The sequence below is a fragment of the Homo sapiens genome, chromosome 4 (assembly GCF_000001405.40).
Source record: "Homo sapiens chromosome 4, GRCh38.p14 Primary Assembly".
Lineage (NCBI taxonomy): Eukaryota > Metazoa > Chordata > Mammalia > Primates > Hominidae > Homo > Homo sapiens.
In genome coordinates this window covers 88624139-88648643 of record NC_000004.12, presented here as the reverse complement: position 1 = coordinate 88648643, position 24505 = coordinate 88624139, and the positions used below count along the sequence as shown (strand labels likewise).

General features: G+C 37.3%; 1 protein-coding gene across 10 annotated transcripts in view, besides 2 other annotated features; it reads right to left on the bottom strand.

Annotated features, from left to right (window-relative positions):
- Positions 1 to 24505, bottom strand: part of HERC3 (HECT and RLD domain containing E3 ubiquitin protein ligase 3) — a 184697-nt gene that overhangs the window by 59896 nt on the left and 100296 nt on the right. The gene's annotated exons all lie outside the window — the stretch shown is intronic.
- Positions 13888 to 14390: an enhancer, noted in NCBI's record as "H3K27ac-H3K4me1 hESC enhancer chr4:89555405-89555907 (GRCh37/hg19 assembly coordinates)". NCBI's record gives its function as "activates a minimal SCP1, AML or CMV promoter by ChIP-STARR-seq in primed H9 embryonic stem cells {active_cell/tissue: H9 hESC(primed)}" and the evidence as "EXISTENCE:reporter gene assay evidence [ECO:0000049][PMID:30033119]".
- Positions 14391 to 14894: an enhancer, noted in NCBI's record as "H3K27ac-H3K4me1 hESC enhancer chr4:89554901-89555404 (GRCh37/hg19 assembly coordinates)". NCBI's record gives its function as "activates a minimal SCP1, AML or CMV promoter by ChIP-STARR-seq in primed H9 embryonic stem cells {active_cell/tissue: H9 hESC(primed)}" and the evidence as "EXISTENCE:reporter gene assay evidence [ECO:0000049][PMID:30033119]".

The window sequence follows — 24505 nt, the reverse complement described above, 5'->3', positions numbered from 1 at the left end:
CTTGAAATTTCAGAATAACAAGAAAGAGTCTAAAAGTTTCTAGAAAAGAACATGTTTATATACAATAGAACAGGGATCAGAATGGCATCATACTTCTCAGAAGCAACACCGAAAACTGTAAGACAATGGAGGGATGCCCTCACAATTCTGAAGGAAAGTAACATCCAATCAAGAATTCCATACACCAGCTGTGAATGAAATGTGAGGCAAGGGGAGCAAAAGGGCAGTTCTGGAGCATGTAAAGCTCTCAAAATATTTTACCTCCCATACTGCTTTTCTCAGAAAGCTACTGGAAGATATGCCTCCAAAACAAAGAACTCAGGATTTAGGAACCAGGAATCTTACACAGACAGGAAGGAGGTGAAGAACCTTTCCAGACAGCTATGTAGCATGCCTACAAAGCAAAGGTGGAGGGATGTCTCCAAGGTGAAAAAGAAAACACTACTTAAAGAGTTTTAGAGCATTATGAGTTTTATAATTCTACCAGAGATACAGAGGTTACTGTGGAAAAAAAAATTAAAGTCAGTAACTTCAGGAAAAACTAAATGATTTATGAGAAAGAAAAGCAATCATGGTACATGCAATCATAATAACCAAACAAAAATACTTTCCATAGTTAATAATTGTCAAATTTTATTTAAAAGATTAACTCTTTGGGGAAGGATGAGTGTCTGGTGGTGAGGAAGAGGAGAGGGTAGGTAGAGAATATAACAGAACTCTAATCTTTGCCAGTGTGAAGTTTCCAGATTATGTCCAATATTGAAAAAAATCAAGAAATAATATTATAAGCATGTTATTTAGAGACATAAAGGTAAGCAGCAAAAAAAAAAAAAAAGCTAAAGAGTTGAAATGATAGGGAGTGAGATTCAAGATAAGGACAGGTGAGGCAGGGAACTGTTATTTAACCTGAACACAGTTTGCATAAATATATTCCTTCAAAACAATAACACTTTTTTTAACTGAAAATATGCTCATGCCAGAGAAATTACCATAATAAACAGAAAGATTCTGTAATTCCTATTGTTCCCATTGTCCATCTTCTTTAACCTCTGCTCACTACTTACTTCCCAACTCAGCCTTGCACCAGGCACAAAGAATAGTCCTATCTTTACCTTGCAAAAATGTAAGGAACGCTATCAAAGGAGCCCAGGTGGCTCAGACTCCACTCTAACCAAATTTCCACCTTGTACCAATTCCAGGACTTGGACGGCTTTTCTGTTCTCTAGACCTGGGGCCTAGCCTGATGCCTTATTCACGACTGAGGCCTGTCTCTTGGTACCTAACCTTCCTGCTACTGACTAGCAGCCTTACCTGTCTGAATGTTAGTATATGGCCTAACACAACACTAATAATTTTCCCCACTATCCTGACAGAATACTGTCGCTCTGATCTGTCTGCCGTTTTCTTTCCCTCAGTCTCTCAATAGCATCCCTCTCTTGATCTTGTCTTTACTACAGCTTAGTAGCCTCAAAAGGGAACACCTGGATTCCAATGACCATTGACTCCCAGTCACGTCAATCTCTAGGCAAACCAATTCCTGTCCCATCACTCACCAGCCGCACCTGAGCTCCTTTGATAGCATTCCTTACATTTTTGCAAGGTAAAGGACTATTCTTTGTGCCTGGTGCAAGGCTGAGTTGGGAAGTAAGTAGTTGAGTAGAGGTTAAAGAAGATGGACAATAGGAACAACAGGAAATCCAGCTACCCTCACCACAACAATAAAACCTGCAGCCACAAAGGCAGAAATACTGTTCAGCAATGCAAATGTTGATGGAGAACCAAACCACTGGTTACACAAGTCTAACTTATTCTATTTCTTCTAGCCAGAAAACTGCGCTCGTCTAATTCAGGCTGGAGATCTGTCACTGTGGAACTATGATCCCTCTTCTAGAATCTACCCCCTAGGTCAGCCCAGTGTGCTGATGAATGCCTCATTCACTCCCCTCTCTGAATACACCCCTGCCCCACTTGGGAACATTCAGGCTGAAGTGCCCTCTGATTCATTTTCACATGCAGTCTCTTTTGATCCATTCCGTCAAGACTATACACTATATTTTGCAGATGATGATGGAACCTCAACCCACACATTAAAATAACTAAACACACTGAAGAAGCATTTGGTATTTTTCGAGAATAAAAGTATACTTTCTCTTTGAACCTTCCACAGCAACACTTTAAAGTTTTTAAAACTCTTTAGTAATGTTTCCAGTTCTGAACAAGTCATGGTAGTTAGGACAGCACAGTGGCCAATGTGGAGTGCTGCTTACAGCAAGTCTGCCGTTCAGCTGGACTTGCATTATTAGGGTTAGTTCTACTTAGCTCTTGAGCCCATCATAATTTTTTAATGTTTTTTGAGTTAATGGTAAATTTGTCATTTAACCACCAAAAGATGGTAACTGAGAAGGATGATATGAGTCTAGGGGGTAGATGGATGATGCAGATTCTTAAGCCTTGCAACAACCCTGTAAGGCAAGGGCACAGGGTTGTTGTCCTCAGCTCAGAAAGAGGATGTAATTTGGCCAAGGCTCACAACTAATGATTGGTGGAACTGGGATGGACACCAGGTCTGTCTGACTTCAAAGCCCATTATACTTAACTAAGCTATATTGTCTTTCCTCTGGAGAAGAATTAGATAGATTTTAAATTGGTAAAAGTAACCTACAAAGTGAATACCCTATTTATGGATAATGGAAAACTAACTTTTTCCTCATCGTCTGTTCACACGAGAAACACATCCAATGGCTTACAGTAAATAATATCAGCATCTGGGTAGAAAGGACAGTAGTTCCCCCTTATCTGAGGTTTTGCTTTCCAGAGTTTCAGTTACCTGCGATCAGTGCAGTGCAAAAATATTAAGTGGAAATTTCCAGAAATAAGCAACTCATAAGTTTTAAATTGCATACCATTCTGAGTCATGTGATGAAATCTCTCACTGTCCCGCTCTACCTGGGACATGAACCATCCCTTTGTCCAGCATATCCATGCTGTATATGCTCCCTGCCTGTTAGCCCCTTAGTAGCTGCCCCTGTTATCAGATTGAAAAAGCATAGTATATATAGAATTTGGTACTATCCAAGGTTTCAGGTATCTAGTGGGGGTCTTGGAACACATCCCCTGCAGATAAGGAGGGACTACTATATACAGTATATACAAAATTAGTGATTAACAGTTGGCACTAAGTTTTTAATAAAACTATCACAAAATAAATGTAAGCAGTTGATAGTACAAAGAGGGTTAAACTTTCACCACTTAGATGTCTCCTTTCTGCTTTTCCGCAAATTGTCAACTCTACAATTATACTTTTCTTTAATAGTAGAAAACAAGACAGAGACATATTGTAGGAAACCCAGTTCTTCACCCTACCATTCTGCACATTCTAAGTCCTCACATTCACCCTAACTCTTGATTTCCTGTTCCCACCGAACTCTTACCCTCCTGCACATCTTTCCTCCTGCTGCTATACTCTGCTCTCCTGACTGCTTTTTCTCCAAAATACTATCAACCCAGTCTGTGGGGTGCAGCAGACTTTTATTGAAAGTCTGGGTGATGGAGATACACTGTATCTCGGCAAACCGCTCAAAACAAAATATTGTACATCCAAGTTCCTCTGCAGTTCCCAACACAGAAGATGGCCTGGTATCTAATTTTCATCCTAGAGTCTCCCTGCCTCCCACAACATGACTAAGTCTCTTTCCCTCATTTTGTTTGTTCCTGTATCTGAAAGGTCCTTTTCCAAAGCCATATTCCAATTTATTTCTTAATTAATTACTTTGGTCTAAACATTTTGGGGTATCTGGACTATTTCCATAAGAGATTTTCTATCTTGTTTCTGAGCCAAGGCACTGAAACCAGAGTCAGCTTCAAAAAATTTTTAATTATCATAGAATAAACTTGACCTTTTTTTGGTATATAAGTCTATGAATTCAAACACATGTAACTACACAAATAAGTCTATGAATTCAAACACAATCAAGATACAGAACAGTCCCATCACCCCAAAAATGTTCTTCATGCTATTCCTTATAGTTGCATCCTCTCCTCATCCTTAACCCCTGACAACCAACAATCTGTTTTCTCTCACTATAGTTTTGAGTTTTTTATGCTGTCATGTAAATGGAATCATATAGTGTCTAACTCTTTGAAACTGGATTGTTTTACTCATAATGCCTCTGAGATTCAATTAAGTGGTTGCATGTATCAACAGTTTGTTCCTTTTATTGGTAAGGAGTATTCCACTGTATAATGGATGAACTACAGAGCACTGTTCCCAGTTTTTAGTGATTATAAATAGAGGTGCAATGAACATTCACATACAGCTTACTGTATGACAATAAGTTTTCCTAACACTGGAGTAAATACCCAGGTGTGAGATTGCTAGGTTATGTGGTAAATATATGTTTATTTAAAAAAAAGAAAGAAAAAACCTGCCAAATCATTTTCCAGAATGGCCATCCCATTTTGCATTAACACCAGCAATTATGAGAGTTCCAGTTGCTCTGCATCCTTGCCAACACTTGCTATTATCAGTATTTAATTTTACCCATTCTAACAAGTATAATGGTATTTCATTACGGTTTTAATTTGCATTTCTCTAGTGGCTAAAGATGTCAAACATCTTTTCATGTGCTTATTTGCCATCCATCCTCTTTGGATAAATGTCTGTTCGAAGTTCTTGCCAATTTTTAAAATTAAATTTTTATTTCACTATTGAGTTGTTTTTTCATTCTCTTAACACACTCATAGATAAGTCTACTTTAACAACTTTTTCCTTTATGGATTATGTTTTTGGTGTCATGTCTAAGAACTCTCTGCCTAACCTCAGGTTATGAAGAATTTCTCCTCTGCTTTCTTCTGAAAGCTTTATTGACTCACATTTTACATTGAGATCTGTGATTCATTTTGAGTTAATTGTTTTAAAAAGCTGTGAGATTCAGATCAAGGTTCTTTTTTTTAAGGTATGAATGTCCAAGTGTTCCACTACCCTTTGCTAAAAACAACTAACAAAATCCTTTCTATATGGAATCTCTTTTACATTTCCATCAAAAGTCAATTAACCACATTTGTGTGGATATATTTCTGGGCTTTATTCTGTTCTATTGGACTGCGTCTACACCTCTGTCAGTACCACATACCCTGGATTACTATACCTCTATAGTAAGCCTTAAAATCAGGTGATTCCTTCAACTTTATTCATATTTTTCAAAATTGCTTCAGGTATTCTAGATCCTTTACCTTCCCATATAAACATTATAATTGGCTTGTCTATATCTACAAAAAAAGAATCCTACTGGAATTTTAGCTGAAATTGTGTTAAATCTATAAGTCAACTTGAGAAGAACTGAAATATTTGCTATAATACGTTAAGGGCCTTAATCCATGAACACAATATGTCTCTACAGTTACGAGGTCTTGGATTTCTTCTACCAGACTTTTGTAGTTTTCAGCATATAAATCTTATATATGTTTTGTTAAAGTTATACCTAAGTATTTTATTTGTTTGGAAATATTATAAATTGTATTTTTTATTCCAGTTTCCAATTGCATATCGTTAATATATAGATATAGTACATTTTTGTGTATTGACCTTAAATCATACAAATTTAACTAATAGTTTTTTAATTTTCAATGTAGACACTGCAATTTTTAATAGAAAGAATTTTTTCTGAGAATAGAGATGGTTTTTTTTCTTCCTTTCCAATTTGTTTGCTTCCCCCTGCCACCCACACACCCCCCGCCCCCATTCTTTCCTTATTACACTGGCTAGGACTTCTAGCATGATGTTGAATAGCAGTAGTGAGAGTGGACATCCTTGCCATGTCCAATGGTCTGAATGTTTGAATCCCCCAAAACGTATATGCTGAAATCAACCCCAAAGTGATGGTGTTAGGTATTGCAGCCTTTTGAGAAGTGATAAGGTCATGAGGGCAAAGCCCTCATGGTTGAGATTAGTGCCCTTATAAAAGAGACCATAGAGGGCTGGCTAGCTAGCCCCTTTCACTGTATGAAGATAGAGCTAACAAGGTACCATCTATGAGGATGACAGTGCTCGGCAGACACCAAATCTGTTGGCACCTTGGCCTTGAAGTTTCCAGCCTCCAGAACTGTTAAGAATAAATGTTTGTTCTTTATAAGCCAACAAGTTTGTGATATTTTTGTTATAGCACCCCAAATGAACTGAAAGAATGCAATCTTCCAACACTGTTTGACATAGCTATAAGATTTGTTGGTAGATGTCCTTCATAAGGTTGAAAAAGTTTTCTTCTACTTCTAGTGTGTTCCTCATGAGAGTTCTTGTCATAAATGGATGCTGCATAATGTCAAATTCTGTTTTCTGTATCAACTGACATAACCATGTGAGTTTCTTCTTTAGACTGTTTTTCCTATTGTTTAAAGCAGATTTTATTTCATCAGTGTCATTTCTTATCTAAATGCTTGATAACATTTGGCAGAGAAACCACGTGAGTCTGGAGGTCTAGAGATTTCTTCCTTCCTTTTTTTTTTTTTTTTTTTTTTGAGACAGAGTCTCGCTCTGTTGCCCCAGCTGGAGTGCAATGGTGTGATCTCGGCTCACTGCAACCTCCACCTCCTGGGTTCAAGTAATTCTCCTTCCTCAGCCTCCCGAGTAGCAGAGATTACAGGCATGCACCAGCATGCCCAAGTTAATTTTTTTTATTTTTAGTAGAGATGGAGTTTCACTAAAAATACAATATGTTGGCCAGCCTGGTCTTGAACTCCTGGTCTCAAGTGTCCTGCCCACCTCAGCCTCCCAAAGTGCTGGGATTACAGGCATGAGCACCGTGCCCGGCCAAGGGGAACTTCTTTTTAAGGCTTTAAACCATGAATTCCATTCTTTATAGTTATAGATAACCTATTTAGATTATCTATTGCATCTTGGTTGAGTTTTGACAGTTTGTGGTTTTGGAAGAATTGTCCATTTGATCCAAGCTGTTAAATGTATATAGAGAGAACTGTTGTCAGATTCCATTACAAAGCTTTTAATGTCTGCAGGGCCTGCAGGGTAATGATATCCTCTGTTTCACTGATACTGGGAACTTATGTTTTCTTTTGTTCTCTTTGACTCTCTTGCTAAAGGTTTATCATTTTATTGATCTTTTCAAAGAGCTAGCTTTTGGTTCCATTGATTTTCTCTATTGTTCTTCTATCTTCAATAACACTAATTTCTACTTTCATCACTATTTCTTTCCTTGTACTTATCTTCCATTTATTATGCTCTTAATATTTTTCTCATTTCATAAGTGAAGGCTTAAATTATTGATTGAATACTTTTCTTTCTAAATAAGCTTTTAATGCCACAAAGTTCTCTCTAAGCACTGCTTTAAGCTATATCCCACAAATTTTGATAAACCATATTTTCATTTTCGTTCAGTTCAAAATATTTTTAGATTTCCCTTGAGACTTCCTCTTTGACTCATTGATTATTTATAAGGCTGCTGCTTAATTTTAATCTAAGAGTTTGAAGACTTTCTTGTTATTTTTCTCCTATTAATTTCTAGTTGAATTCCAGTATAGTGAGAGAACATACTTTTAATTATTGCAATCCTTTAAAATTTGTTCATGTTTGTATTATGACTCAAAATATGGTCTATCTTGGTGAATGTTCTATAGGCAGTTGAAAAAAGTGTATTCTGCTGTTGGATAGAATGTTCGATAAATATCAATCATATCTAGTCCGTTTGATGGTGAACTTCTATATTCTTGATGATGTTCTATTAGTTCTATTTATCACAAAAAAGAGTAAAAAGTCTCCAAATATAATTTTTAGATTTGTCTATTTTTCCTTTTATTTCTGTAAGTTTTTGTTTCAAGTATTTTGAAGCTCAGTTGTTAGGTATACACACATTTGGGATTCCTATGTTTTCCTGCTGAACTGATCTTATTTATTTATTTTTTCTCCTTTAAGTTCCAGGACACATGTGCAGAACGTGCAGGTTTGTTAAATAGGTATACATGTGCCATGGTGGTTTGCTGCACCTATTAACCCGTCACTTGTTTTAAGCCCCACATGTATTACCTATTTGTCCTGATGCTCTCCCTTCCCTCGCTCCCCACCAAAAGGCCCCACTGTATGTTGTTCCCCTGCCTGTGTCCATGTGTTCTCATTGTTCAACTCCCACTTATGAGTGAGAACATGTGGTGTTTGGTTTTCTGTTTCTGTGTTAGTTTGCTGAGAATGATGGCTTCCAGCTTCATCAATGTCCTGACAAAGGACATGATCTCATTCCTTTTCATGGCTGCATAGGATTCCATGGTGTATATGTATCACATTTTCTTTTTCCAGTCTATCATTGATGGGCATTTGGGGTGGTTCCATGTCTTTGCTATTGTAAATAGTGCTGCAATAAACATATGTGTGCATCTGTCTTTTTAGTAGAATGATTTGTATTCCTTTGGGTATATACCCAGTAATGGGATTGCTGAGTCAAATGGTATTTCTGGTTCTAGATCCTTGAATCACCATAATGTCTTCCACAATAATTGAACTAATTTACACTCCCACCAACAGTGTAAAAGCGTTTCTATTTCTCCATAGCCTCGCCAGCATCTATTGTTTCTCAACTTTTTAATAATCGCCATTCTGACTGGTGTGAGATGGTATCTCATTGTGGTTTTGATCTGCATTTCTCTGATGATCAGCAATGTTGAGCTTTTTTCATGTTTGTTGGCCGCATAAATGTCTTCCTTACTGAATTGTCTGTTCATATCCTTTGCCCACTTTATGAAGGGGTTTTTTTTTTCTTGTAAATTTGTTTAAGTTCCTTGTAGATTCTAGATATTAGACCTTTGTCAGATGGGTAGAGTGCAAATATTTTCTTCCATTTTGTAGGTTGCCTGTTCACTCATGAGTTTCTTTTGTTGTAAAGAAGCTCTTTAGTTTAATTAGATCCCATTTGTCAATTTTGGCTTTTGTTGCAATTGCTTTCAGCATTTTTGTCATAAAGTCCTTGCCCATGCCTATATCCTGAATGGTATTGCCTGGGTTTTCTTCTAGAGTTTTTATGGTTTGGGGTTTTACATTTAAGTCTTTAATTCATCTTGAGTTAATTTTTGTATAAGGTGTAGGGAAGGGGTCCAGTTTTGGTTTACCGTAGATGCTAGCCAGTTTTCCCAACATGATTTATTAAATAGAAAATCCTTTCCCCATTGTTTGTTTTTGTCAGGTTTGTTGAAGATCATATGGTTGCAGATGTGTGTTATTTCTGAGGCCTCTATTCTGTTCCATTGTCTATAAGTCTGTTTTGGTACTAGTACCATGCTGTTTTGGTTACTGTAGCCTTGTAGGATAGTTTGAAATCAGGTAACATGATGCTTCCAGCTTTGTTCTTTCTGCTTAGGATTGCCTTGACTATGTGGGCTCTCTTTTGGTTCCATATGAATTTTAAAGCAGTTTTTTCTAAATCTGTGAAGAATTTTAATTATAGTTTGATGGGAATAGCACTGAATCTATAAATTACTTTGGGCAGTATGACCATTTTCATGATACTGATTCTTCCTATCCATGAGGATGGAATGTTCTTCCATTTGTTTGTGTCCTCTCTTATTTCCTTGAAAAGTGGTTTGTAGTTCTCCTTGAAGAGGTCCTTTATGTCCCTTGTTAGCTGTATTCCTAGGTATTTTATTCTCTTTGTAACAACTGTGAATGGGAGTTCATTCATTATTTGGCTCTCTGCTTTTCCATTGCTGTTGTATAGGAACGCTTGTGATTTTTGCACATTGATTTTATACCCTGAGACTTTGCCTAAGTTGCTTATCGGCTCAAGGCATTTTTGGGCTGAGATGATGGCGTTTTCTAAATATAGTATCATGTCGTCTGCAAACAGAGACAATTCGACTTCCTCTCTTCTTATTTGAGTACCCTTTATTTCTTTCTCTTGATTGATTGCCCTGACCAGAACTTCCAATACTATGTTAAATAGGAGTGGTGAAAGATGGCATCCTTGTCTTGTGCCAGTTTTCAAAGGGAATGCTTCCAGCTTTTGCCTATTCAGTACGATACTGGCTGTGGGTTTGTCATAAATAACTCCTATTATTTTGAGATATGTTCCATCAATACCTAGTTTATTGAGAGTCTTTAACATGAAGGGATGTTGAATTTTATCAAAGGCTTTTTCTGCATCTATTGAGATAATCATATGGTTTTATCATTGGTTCTGTTTATGTGATAGATTATGTTTATTGATTTGCATATGGTGAACCAGCCTTGCATCCCAGGATGAAGCTGACTTGATCGTGGTAAATAAGCTTTTTGATGTGCTGCTGGATTTGGTTTGCCAGTATTTTATTGAGGATTTTCACACTGATGTTCATCAAGGATATTGGCCTGAAATTTTCTTTTTTTTGTTGTGTCTCTGCCAGGTTTTGGTATCAGGATGATGCTAGCCTCATAAAATTAGTTAGAGAGGAGTCCCTCCTTTTCAATTGTTTAGAATAGTTTCTGAAGGAATGATACCAGCTCCTCTTTGTACCTCTGGTAGAATTCAGCTGTGAATCTCTCTGGTCTTGGACTTTGTTTAGTTAGTAGGGTATCTATTACTGACTCAATTTCATAACTGGTTACTGCTCTATTCAGGGATTCAACTTCTTCCTGTACTTCAGTCTTGGGAGGGTGTATGTGTCCAGGTATTTGTCCATTTCTTCTAGATTTTCTAGTTTATTTGCTGGAGGTGTTAATAGTATTCTCTGAAGGTAGTTTGTATTTCTGTGGGATCAGTGGTGATATCCCCTTTATTGTTTTTTACTGTGTCAATTTAATTCTTCTTTTCTTCTTTATTAGTCTAGCTGGTGGTCTATTTTATTAATTTTTTCAAAAAACCAGCTCCTGGATTCAATGATTTTTTGAAGGGTTTTTCATGTCTCTATCTCCTTCAGTTCCGCTCTGATCTTAGTTATTTCTTGTCTCCTGCTAGTTTTTGGATTTGTTTGCTCTTGCTTCTCTAGTTCTTTTAGTTGTGATGTTAGGGTGTTGATTTGAGATCTTTCTAGCTTTCTGATATGGGCATTTAGTGCTATAAATTTCCCTCTTAACACTGCTTTCTTTAGCTGTGTCCCAGAGATTCTGGTACATTCCTTCTTTGTTCTCATTGGTTTCAAATAACTTCTTGATTTCTGCCTTAATTTCATTATTTACCCAGAAGTCATTCAGGAGCAGGTTGTTCAATTTCCAGGTAGTTGTGTGGCTTTTTGTTTGTTTGTTTGTTTGGAGACAGAGTCTCACTCTGTGGCCCAGGCTGGAGTGCAGTGGCGCGATCTCGGCTCACTGCAAGCTCTGCCTCCTGGGTTCATGCCATTCTCCCGCCTCAGCCTCCTGAGTAGCTGGGACCACAGGCGTCCGCCATCATGCCCGGCTAATTTTTTTGTATTTTTAGTAGAGACGGGGTTTCGTCATGTTAGCCAGGATGGTCTCGATCTCCTGACCTCATGATCCACTTGCCTCGGTCTCCCAAAATGCTGGGATTACAGGCATGAGCCACCATGCCTGGCCTGTTTGTTTGTTTTTGAGATGGCATCTCACTCTGCCACCCAGGCTGGAGTGCAGTAGTGCAATCTCAGCCCATTGCAACCTCTGCCTCCCGGATTCAAGCAATTCTCCTACCTCAGCCTCCCGAGTAGCTGGGACTACAGGCGCACACTGCCACACCTGGCTAATTTTTGTATTTTAGTAGAGATGGGGTTTCGCTGTTTTGCCCAGGCTGAACTCCTGAGCTCAGGCAATCCGCCCACCTCGGCCTCACAAAGTACTGGGATTACAGGCATGAGCCATCGCACCTGGCCAGTTGTGTGGTTTTGAGTGAGTTTCTTAATTCTGATTTCTAATTTGATTGCACTATGGTCTGAGAGACTGTTACAGTTTCAGTTATTTTGCATTTGCTGAGGTGTGTTTTACTTCCAATTATGTGGTCAATTTTAGAGTAAGTGCTATGTGGCACTGATAAGAATGTACACTCTGTTGTTTTGGGGTGGAGAGCTCTGTAGATATCTATTAGGTCCACTTGATCCAGAGCTCAGTTCAAGTCCTGAATATCCTTGTTAATTGTCTGTCTCGTTGATCTAACATTGACAGTAGGGTGTTAAATTCTCCCACTATTATTGTGTGGGAGTCTAACTCTCTTTGTAGGTCTCTAAGAACTTGTTTTATGAATCTGGGTGCTCCCATACTGGGTGCATATATATTTAGGATAGTTAGCTCTTCTTGTTGAATTGATCCCTTTACCATTACGTAATGCCCTTTGTCTTTTTTTTGATCTTGGTTGGTTTAAAGTCTGTTCTGTCAGAGACTAGGATTGCAACCCCTGCTTTTTTCCACTTTCCATTTGCTGGATACATTTTCCTCCATCCCTTTATTTTGAGCCTATGTGTGTCTCTGCACATGAGATGGGTCTCTTGAATACAGCAAACCAATGGGTCTTGACTCTATCCAATTTGCCAGTCTATATCTTTTAATTGGGGCATTTAGCCTATATACATTTAAGGTTAATACTGTTATGTGTGAATTTGATCCTGTCATCATGACGCTAGCTGGTTATTTTGCATGGTAATTGATGCCGTTTCTTCATAATGTCATTAGTCTTTATATTTTTGTGTGCTTTGCAGTGGCTGGTACTGGTTTTTCCTTTCCATATTTAGTGCTTCCTTCAGGAGCTCTTGTAAGGCAGTCCTGGTGGTGGCAAATTCCCTCAGCATTTGCTTATCTGAAAAGGATTTTATTTCTCCTTAGCTTATGAAGCTTAATTTGGCCAGACATGAAATTCTGGGTTGAAAATTGTTTTCTTTAAAAATGTTGAATATTGACCCCCACTCTCTTCTGGCTTGTAGGGTTTCTGCTGAGAGGTCTGCTGTTAGTCTGGTGGGCTTCCCTTTGTAGGTGACATGGCCTTTCTCGCTGGCTGCCCTTAATATTTTTTCCTTCATTTTGACCTTGGTGAATCCGATTATGTGCCTTAGAGTTGATCTTCTCATAGAGTATCTTAGTGGAATTCTCTGTATTTCCTAATTTGAATGTTGTCCTGTCTTGCTAGGTTAGGAAAGTTCTCCTGGATAATATCCTGAAGTGTGTTTTCCAACTTGGTTCCATTCTCCCTGTCTCTTTCAGGTATTCCAATCAGTCTTAGGTTCGGTCTTTTTACATAGTCCCATATTTCTCAGAGGTTTTGTTCATTCCTTTTCATTATTTTTTCTTTAATCTTGTCTGCCTGCCTTATTTCAGCAAGAGAGTCTTCCATCTCTGATATTCTTTCTTCTGCTTGACTGATTCAACTATTGATACTTGTGTATGCTTCACGAAGTTCTCACGTTGCATTTTTCAGCTTCATCAGGTCGTTTACGTTCCTCTTTAAACTGGTTATTCTAGTTAGCAGCTCTCTAATCTTTTATCAACGTTCTTAGCTTCTTTGTTTTGGGTTAGAACATGCTCCTTTACCTCAGCGAAGTTTGTTGTTACCCACCTTCTGAAGCCTGTTTTTGTCAATTCATCCATCTCATTCTCTGTACAGTTCTGCGCCCTTGCTGGAGAGGTGTTGCGATCATTTAGAGAAGAGGCACTCTGCCTTTTGGGTTTTCAGCGTTTTTTTCATTGATTCTTTCTCATCCTCATGAGTTTGTCTAGTTTCGATCTTTGAGCCTGCTAACCCTTGGATAAGGATTTTTGTGGAGACTTTTTTGTTGAAACTGTTGTTGTTACTTTCTGTTTTTCTTTCAATAGTCAGGTCCCTCTTCTGCAGAGCTGCTGCGGTTTGCTGGGGGTTCACTTTAAGCCCTATTCATCTGGTTCACTCCTGCATCTGGAAATGTCACTTGAGGAGACTGGAGAAGAGTGGAGATGGGTGCCTGCTCCTTCCTCTGGGACCTCTGACCTCGAGGGGCACTGACCTGATGCCAGTAGGGATGCTCCTGTATAGGATGTCTGACAACCCCTGTTGGCGGGGGCGGGGGTGGGGTCTCACCCAGTTGGGTGGCACAGGAAGCAGGGCCCATTTAACAAAGCACTTTGGCTATCTCTTGGTGGAGGGGGTGTGCTGTGCTGGGGGGAAACTCACTCATCTGGGCTGCCCAGATTCGTCAGTGCTCGCAGGAGGAAAGACTAAGTCTGCTGGTCCACAGAGACTACGGCCATCCCTCCCCCTAGGGGTTCAGGCCTAGGGAGATCAGAGTTCTGTCCCTTAGCCCCTAGTTGGAGACGGAGTTCCTGCAAGGAAGCCCTGAAGCTGCAGTGTTGGCTGCCACCCCTCCCACAAGGAGCGTAGGTGGCTTAGACAGCAGGCAGCCACAGCAGTGGTGGTGGCTGCCCCTTCCCCTGGGGATTTGGCTGGCTTAGGCCAATTCTAGCCCAGTGAGAATCTGCACGGCTCCATGGTTGGGACCCAAGGCCCCAGTAGCATGGGCTCACGAGTGGGATCTTCTGATCTGTGGGTTGCACAGTTCCGTGGAAAAAGCACGGTTCCCAAGGCTGGGTAGCACACTCACTAACCACCTCCCTCAGCTAAGGGTGGGGGCTCCCCTGCCCTGTGTGGCTCTCAGGTGGGCCGCCGCACCACACTGCTCTTCCTTCCTCTCCGTGGGTCATGCCGGCTGCCTAGTCAGTCCTAATGACCAAACCTGGATATCTTGGTTGCCGGTGCAAGATTAATACACTGTTTTGGATCTTTTCCATGGGAGCTTCCAATCGGCCATCTCGGCCCCGCCCCCCTCGAATTGACCATTTAATCACTATGTAACATTCCTCTGTATTCCTGGTCACTTTCTTTGCCTACTTTAAGCTTTACTCACTAAATGTTAATTATGATTAGTGTTTGCATAATATATGTTTTGTATTCTTTTACTTTTAATAATCTTCCAATATCATTATTTTTGAAGTCAATTTCTTATGCACAGTAATTTGCTGGGGTTTTTTTAGAGTCTAATAGGATAATCTATTTGGGTTGTTTTGTTTAGACTATTTCTATTTAATATAATCATTGCTATATTTGGATTTTTACCTATTTTGTTATTGTTTTATTTCCTGTTTCTCATTTCCTCTTTCTTGCCTTCTTTTGTGTTAAATAATTTTAGTATTCCATTTTAATGTATCTATTGTGTTTTCTACTATATTACTTGGTATAGCTTTTTAAGTGATTGTTCCAGGAATTACAATAATTATCTTTTCAGAGCTTACTTAGAATCAACATTTTTACAATGCAAAATATATTACACGGAAGAAACCCTACCACCATATAGGTTACTTTACCATCCCCCCTTTAAGTTACAGTAATCTTAAATATGCTTTGAACCATAAAATATATACTGGAGAACTCAAGAGTGTATTATATTCCCAGATAAATCTGCTATTTCTGTTCCTCTTCTTCATTCTTGATGTGCCACTATTCCTTCTGATATCGTTTCCCTTCTGTCTGAAAAACTTCATTTTGCTATTATTTAGTACAGCCCTGCTAGTTGAATTCTCTGACTTTTCCTTCACCTAAAACTGCCTTTGTTTCACCTTCATTTATAAAGGCTATTTTTGCTGGATACAGAATTCTAAGTTTACAATTCTCTTCTTTCTATGCTCTGCTATGCCACTTCCTTAAGGCCTCCAGGGTTTCTGGTGTGAAATCCACAGTCTTCTGAATCATTGTTTCCTTATATGTAATGTGTTGTTTTTCTCTGGGCTTTCAAGTATTTTCTTTGCCTTAATTTTTAGAAGTTTGATTATGATGTGTCTGAATGCAGGCTTCTTTGGGTTTATCTTGCTTGGGTTCACTGGGCTTCTAGAATTTGTAGGTTTATGTCTTCTGCCAACTTGGAAACTTTCCAGTTTTGCACTACATCCTTTGTCCTCTCCGGCTGGGACTCTAAAGACATATTAGACTTTTTGTTCTCATTCCACAGGTCCCTGAAACTCTGTTCATTTGTTTTCCCATCTTTATTATCTCTGTCATTCAGACTGCATAATTTCTACTGATCTATCTTCAACTTCATTGATTCTTTCCTCTGTCACCTCTGTTCTGCTACTGAGGCCATGCAGTGAGCTTCTCATTTTAGTTATGGTATTTGGTTCCTCTTCACATCATCTATTTCTTGCCTGAGAACTTTGTTTCTCCATTTGTTTCACAAGTATTTGGGCCAGCTTGTTGAAATATTTGTAAACTACATGCTTTAAAGTTTGTCAGATAATTCCAACATCTACATTATCCCACATTGGCATCCATTGTCTCTTCCCATGCAAGTTGAAATTTTCCTGGTTTTTCCTATGCTGAATAATTTTGGACTGTACCATGAACATTTTGGATATTACGTTACAAGATTCTGGGTCTTCTGGGGAATGTTAACAATTTTTAGTTTTCAAAGCCTTTGCACTGCTTTTCAGATGTGTGCCCTGCGTACACCACAGAGTGGCCAGTCTGAGTGGTTATCTATTAGTTCAGCTCTCAAGATCATTTATATGCTAAGTAGAATAAATCCACGCATGCAGAACACAGAGGTGAGCCAAAGAGTTCATGGATAACTATATGGAGTTGCATTCATGGGCTCTCTGTGATCTCCCAAATACTTCCAGGTTTCTTGGGGTTCCTTTTTAGTCCTCTAGCCTATGGACTTCTGCCTCTGGGGCCAAATGGCAGGATGATAAGAGGGGAAAAAATGGTAATCTCATTGCCAGCTTAGTGGTACTTCAAGTTCTGGTCTTCTTTCCCAATGTGCCTGCCACTATTTGTTTTTCAGAGTTATCAAATAGTCGCTCCAGGCATTCTGTCCAGGTTTTATAGTTGCATACAGTCGAAGACAGGAAGGCATGTACTTATCCATCCTTCCCAGAACTGGAAACTCAGGGCCAGATTTTTTAAATAAGACTTTTTTCTCCCTGCTTTGTGTCCTTTTAAACATCAGAGAAAGTCCAAAAACTGTTCAATTTGGCTAAATGAAAAAATAAAGGCACAGCTCTCCCATGAATGTTTCAAAAACTAAATATGGGTTTAATCTTTCCATATAGTAAAGGGCTAGATTCCTGGAAGTAGAGAGTATCCATGAGCATCTAATGCTTCATTTAAGTTATCTGAACATATCAAACACTCACTTGCTTAATACCAAGTATTACTGACCAACTTTAAACAATCATTAAGCCAAATCTTTTCAACCAAAGAATCAGAGAGAAAGATTAGTTATGATAAGAATTTACAGTAGTATTTCTTTTCTTTTTTTGAGACAGAATCTCACTTTGTCACCCAGGCCCTGGAGTGCAGTGGCACAATCTCAGCTCACTGTAACCTCTGCCTCCTGGGTTCAAGTGATTCTCCTGCCTCAGCCTCTCAAGTAGTTGAGACTACAGGCACACACCACAACGCCTGGCTAATTTTTGCATTTTTAGTACAGGCGGGGTTTCACCATGTTGGCCAGGCTGGTCTCGAACTCCTGACCTCAAGTGATCTGCCTGCCTCAGCCTCCCAAAGTGCTGGGATTATTGTGAGCCACCATGCCTGGCCCAGAGTAGTACCTCTCAGTTCAGTGACAGGTGACTTTAACCTTGGCCCTTAATGTATACACACAAAACTCTAAAACAAATACTATGAAAAATGTTTCTGAATATATGTTCTTCTTAAAGCCATAAATCTAAATTTACTATGTATGCTTTCAGATGCAATAAGCTAGATATACTGACGAAGTCAATAATAACATATGGAGCCCTGTCACAGGGAATGGGAGGGGAGTAGACTTTGTAGTTTTGAGTCACTAGCATTCCACTAGTCAGAATAAGATCAGCTGCAATGACTCAGTTATTTTCAGGAACTCAGAATTGCCAACCGTGGCATAATCTAATGCTTTAAAGGGATTTTTAATAAAGAATAAAAATTAGAAAACCACCTATGGGTTCTGACAGAGGAAATCCTAAAAACAGAGAGGTCCCCTGCATGGTGCTACAGTAGTATATATAATTTTGTTATAGTTAAATGCATAAATCCTCCAGGTAATAATTTAAGACTCCTCTAAGAGGACTGAAATCATAATTCTCAGGTGAAAATACTAATAGTCCCTTCAAAGTTCAGCTCACATGCTATCATGAATGCTTTATCCTTCACAGATCTTTCCTTTTCTGTAAAACTACAGCACCGGCTTCCATACAACCACGGCCTGCTTGGGTACATACAAGAACTAGAGTGTAAGCTCCAGGAAGGCAGTTTCATGTATCTTAATGCAAGCGTATAACATTAAAGAAATGCTAGAAAACACTTGTTGACTATAAAATGTCTGTAATAATCAAAATCAAAATCAATAAAGTCAGGCTTTAAAATATCTTAAATGACTACCAAAAAAGTCACAAATTCCAGTGCTATAATTCATATCAAAGGAGGGGGAAACATAAACTGTTTCATTTCTAAATCACTAGGGAAGCTCACAGACATTTCAAAGCATCATCATTCTTTATGGGAGAAATGGAGAATAATGGAGAAACTAAAACATTTTCCAAGGGTACAATATCAGAGAAGTAACAGAATCAAGACAGGTCCATTTAGAAAATAAATTAATCTGTGCTAGATCCACTAACATAAACAGAAGATTTATTCTCACTCAGAATAAAAATCTACCCCTCCCAATTTTCACCACATGCTATACTTATTCACTGGTACTATTCTGCCTACTTAGAGCTCAAATATTTTAACTTTGGCCTCCTTGGAAGGCAGTCAATACCCATAGACTGACCTAAAAAAGAATAAAAAGCTCTCTATACTAAGTCACAAAATACACACTGAGAAGCTGACATAGTTTAACTGTAAAATCACAACAAATACTCACCACTCCAATTCTTTACAAAAAGAGGCTATGTAAAAAATCTCCATATTTGACTTTGCATTTAAACTGTTGGTAATAAATATAAAAATTATCTTTGATTAACCAAAAGATATAGAGATAAGTTTATTAGCCTTTCAAAAAAATGAAGAACTGGAAATTAAAGTTATGATACAAATCCAATCTATTTCTCCCAAAAAAGTTACACCCAATGTTAGTATACTATCTATCAGTACAAACTTTAAGGCTGGCATTTTTATAACATACCACCAGCCTTAGAATTTTGAATGTCTTTTGATCTAGCAGTTGTATTTCTACAAATATATCCTAAAGAAATAATGTACACTGCATTAACAGGAAAAAAATTAGAAACTAGGATTATATCCTATAAAATGAAATATGTAGTCATTAAAAAGGTTGATACAGATCAGTATGAATATGACCATCACAGAAAATTATGAGATAGTAAGTGGAAAAGTAGGTTATAAAGTGGTACTTCTGATATGACCTCATTTTAAAAATTACATTGCTGTTAAGAAAAATACTGGAAAGATAAACCAAAGAAATACCAATGTTGTTTTTGTTCAGAGTGGTAGAATTAAAGAGAATTTATTTGCTTATTTTAGTTTACAGGTATTTAATTTGTGAGCAATAAACACATATGTATTACTTTTGTAATGTGGAATTAATTTTAAGTTTTGTTTTGTTTTGTTTTGAGCCAGAGTCTCACTCTGTCACCCAGGCTGGAGTACAGCGGCACAATCTCGGCTCACTGCAACCTCCACCTCCCAGGTTCAAGCTAGTCTCCCAAGTGGCTGGGATTACTGGCACATGCCACCATGTGGCTAATTTTCATATTTTTAGTAAAGACGGGTTTCACCACATTGGCCAGGCTGATCTCAAATTCCTGGCCTCAAGCAATGCAACCGCCTCGGCCTCCCAAGTCCCGGGATTACAGCCATGAGCCACCGCGCCCAGCCCTATTTTTAAGGTTTTTGAAAGGACTTCTTACCACTTCCCTCCTCTATTCACAATTTTTTCAACTATTCAGACCACATTCATTCAATGTGATTAAGTAAGAGGTCATTCCCAAGCCTGCAGATTGTTTTATACTATTTTAAACTGTATGTTATTTTACAAACAATATCGCTATAGATTATAATGCAAGATGAGATGCTTCCAGAGGGGCTTGCTAAAGATAGTTAATCCCACTCAATTTCTACAGCAAATGTGAAACATTTGATAATATGATAACATTTTATCACTGCAGGCAAAACATCCCTGCATTGGGATCCATCTATTTTATCTCTGAAATTGCAGTCTTCTGTCAATTTTTCTCTTAAAAATATATGTATATATAAGAACTCCAACTAGAAAAGAGAGAGTCAGGTTGGATGAATGTGGGAGACACAACTATATGCTGCCTTTTAAAAAAAAACCCACTGTAAATAAAAGGTAGAAAAATTAAAAGGTGAGAAAAAGATTACCATGCTAATACTAATCAAGAGAAAGCTAAAGTTATTTATATCAGGCAAGGTAGATTTCAAAACATCGAATATTACTAGGGACAAAGAGTAACATTTCTTGATGTTAAAAGGATCAACTCATTAACACCGAACAACCTTAAATGTGTAAGTACTAACTACAGAGCTTAAAAATTCATGTAGCAAAAACTTATAGAGCCAAAAGAAGAAATAAATCAACAATGGTAATCAAAAATTTTACTACTACTCACTCAGTAATCAATACAGTAAGCAGATACAAAATTAGTAAGGTATAGAAGACATGAACAACATACTATCATCCAACTTCAACTAATTGACATTTATAAATACACTCCACCCATGAACAGTGCAATGCACATTCTTTTTGATCGTTGATGCACTTAGAACATTCACTAAGACAGACCATATTCTGGGCCGTAAAACAAATCTCAGATAAGTTTTCTTTTTTTTTTTTTTTTTTTTTGAGACGGAGTTTCGCTTTTGTTGCCCAAGCTGAAGTGCAATGGCGTGATCTCAGCTCACTGCAACCTCTGCCTCCCAGGTTCAAGCGATTCTCCAGCCTCAGCCTCCCAAGTAGCTGGGATTACAGGCATGCACCACCATACCTGCCTACTTTTTTGTATTTTTAGTAGAAACAGGGTTTCACCATGTCAGCCAGGCTGGTCTCAAACTCCTGATCTCAGGTGATATGCCCACCTCGGCCTCCCAAAGTGCTGGGATTAGAGCCGTGAACCACCATGCCCGGCCACTAAATTTAAGAGGACTGAAATCATACAAAATATGTACACTTGTCTCTCAGTATTTGTGGGGGATTGGTTCCAGGGCCCCCCATAGATACCAAAATCCATAGATGCTCAAATTCCTTATATAAAATTCCTTGTATAAAATGTCACAGTATTTGCATATAACCTACACACATCCTCCTATATACTTCAAATAATCTCTAAATTACTTATAATACCTAATATAATGTAAATGCTATATAAATAACAATAGTATATTGTTTTTAAAATCTGTATTATTTTTATTGTTGTAATTTTTTTTTCCTAAATATTTTCAATCTGTGGTTGCTTGAATCCATGATGCAGAACTTGTGGATCTGGAGAGCTAACTGTACTCTGATGAAAGAAAAATTAAACTAGAAATAATTAAATGAAAGATAACAGCAAAATTGCCACATATTTAGATATTAAACTACGTACTTCTCATAACCCATGTGTCAAAGAAGAAATCATACAGGAATTATTACAAAGTATTTTAAACTAAATAAAAACAAAAACACATGGAATTAAAGTTTGTGGGATACAGTTAAAATGATACTTAAAAGGATATTTTAGCATAAAATACTTGTTAGAATAAAAGAAAAGTTATAAATCAGTGATTTAGGTTTCCACACTAAGAAACTAGAAACAATACGGTAAATTAAACACAAAGTGAACAGAAGAAAATAATTAACAGCAAAAATCACTGAAACAGAAAACAAAACAAACAAAAAGAATAATAAAAATCATTGAAACCAAAAACTTATTATTTAAAAAGATTAATAAAATTTATTAACATCTACCCAGGCTAATCATGAAATGAAGATACAAGTGCTATACCAGAAAAACAGATCTTACAGACACTAAGAGGATAAGGGAATATTATAAACAATTTTATGTCAACAAATTTGACAACTTAGATGAAGTGGACAAATTCCTCAAAAGACATGAACTAAGAAACCTCACCTAAGAAGAAAAAGATAAGTAGTCCTATATCTTTCAAAGAAATTGAAATTATAAAATGTCTCCACAAATAATCATTTTACAATGTATATGTATATCAAAATGTCACCTTATATACCTTGAACATACCATTTTTGTCAATTATACCTCAATAAAGCTGAAAAAACAAATAATAAAGTAAAATAAAATATCCCCACAAAGAAAGCTCTAGGGCCAGATGGCTTCAACAGTGACTCTACCAGCCATTTAAGGAAGAAATAATAATCTATAATAAGTCTATAAGTAATAAAAACATGGAGCCAGGCACAGTGGTGCACACCTGTAGTCCCAGCTTCTTGGGAGGTTGAGGTGGGAGGATCACTAGATCCCAGGAGTTCAAGACCAGCCTTGGACTTTTGAGAGATCTTGTCTCAAAAAAAGAAAAGAAAAGAAGGAAAAGGAAAGAAAGAAAGAATATAAATTAACATAAACAAACTCTTCTAGAAAATAGAAGGAACACTTCTCACCTCATTTCATGAGGCCAGCATTACCCTAATAATAAAACCAAAGACACTACAAGAAAACTGATAAGCCTCATAAACAGAGATGCACAAATCCTTGTCACAATTTAAGAAATCAAAAACAGTAATATATAAAAATTACCAAGTGAGATTTATTCCAGGAATGAGAGGTTGGCTTAATACTCAAACATAATCAATGCAATTTACCATCTTAACAGACTGAAAATAAAAAGCCACACAATCACTGCAAAAGGTTTGGAAATAACATTTGAAAAAAATCAACACAAATTTTTTATTTAAAAAAAAATCACTAAATATCAGGAAACTTCCTCAACTTGATAAAGGACATCCATGAAAACCCTACTGTTAACATCACACTTAATGGTGAAAGATGAATGCTTTCCTATTCATCAGGAACAAGGTGAGGATGTACACTTTTGCCACTTCTATTCATTACTATACCAGTAAAATAAGGCAAATGAGTGAAATAAGCCAAGTGAAATAAGGCAAGAAAATGAAATAATAGGCACACAGCTTGATTTATAGATATTATGAAAATCCTAAGACTATACAGAAAAAAGCTAATAGAGCTAATAAGAGAGTTTAACAAAGTAATTCAAGATCAATATACAAAAATCAATCATATTTCTAAATACTAACAAAATACTAGAAATTAAAGATTGTTTAAAAATACCATGTATAACATAAAAAATGAAATATTTAAAATGAAACATGTGTAAGACCTGTATACTGAGAAGTAAAAAATATTGCTGAGAAAAATTAAAGAAGACCTAAAATATAGAGAGAGACACACCATGTTCATGAATCGAAAGATCCAACATTGTTAAAATGTAAATTCTCCCCAAATTGATCCACAGATTCAGTGCAATTCTAATGAAAATCCCAGTAGCTTTTCTTCCAAAATTGAAAAGCTGCTCTTACATGCAAAATCAAAAGACCAAGAATAGCCAAAAAAAAATTCTGAAAAATAAAAACAAAGGTGTAGAATTTATACTATCTGCAACTACATACTTCCAAGATTTACTATAAAGCTACAGTAATCAACACAGTGTAATACTAAGGAAAGACATGTAGATGAACAGAATACAGGGTCCACAAAAAGACGAGCACACACAGCCAACTGTCTTCCATAGGTTCCAGGATAATGCAAGGGAGCAGGGGGATATACAGTCTTTTCAATAATGATGCTGAAAATTGGGTATCCATATGCAAAAAAACGAACCTTGACCATTATATCACCTACATATAAAATTTTAATTTGAAATGGATCATAGGCCTAAATGTAAGAGCTAAACTATAAAATTTCAAGAAGAAAACTTAGGAAAACAATCATTACGACTGTGAGTTAGGTAAAATTCTTAGGACACAAAAAGCATAAACTGTGAAAGTAAAAATTGAAAATTAGACTTCATTAAAATTAAACTTTTGATCTTCAAAACGCACTGTTAAGAAACCGAAAAGGAAAACCAGATTGGAAGGAAATATTTGTAAAACATCTCTCTGATAAAAGATCAGTATACTGACCACATAAAGAACATTGTAAGACAAGCAATTTGGTTTTCTTTAAAGGACATATATTTGAACATACACTCTGCAAAAGATAAGATACCCAAATGGCAAAAATAAGCACAAGAAAAGCTGTTCAAGTTCATTAGTCATTAAGGAAGTGTATATTAAAACGACAAGGAGATTCCACTACATACCAACTTGGATGGCTAAAATTTAAAAGACTGACAATAGCAAGTGATGCTGAGGAGCAACTAGAACTCTCATAAATTACTGGCAGTTTCTTATAAAATGGAACATACACTTACCATATGAACCAGCAATTCACTCCTAGGAGTTTATTCATGAAAAATGAAAACATATGTCTACACAAACATTTGTAATTGAATGTTCATAACAGTTTTATTCGAAACAACCCAAAACGGGGGAAAATACTCAAATGTCCATGAACTGGTGACTCTATCCATAAAATGGGAAT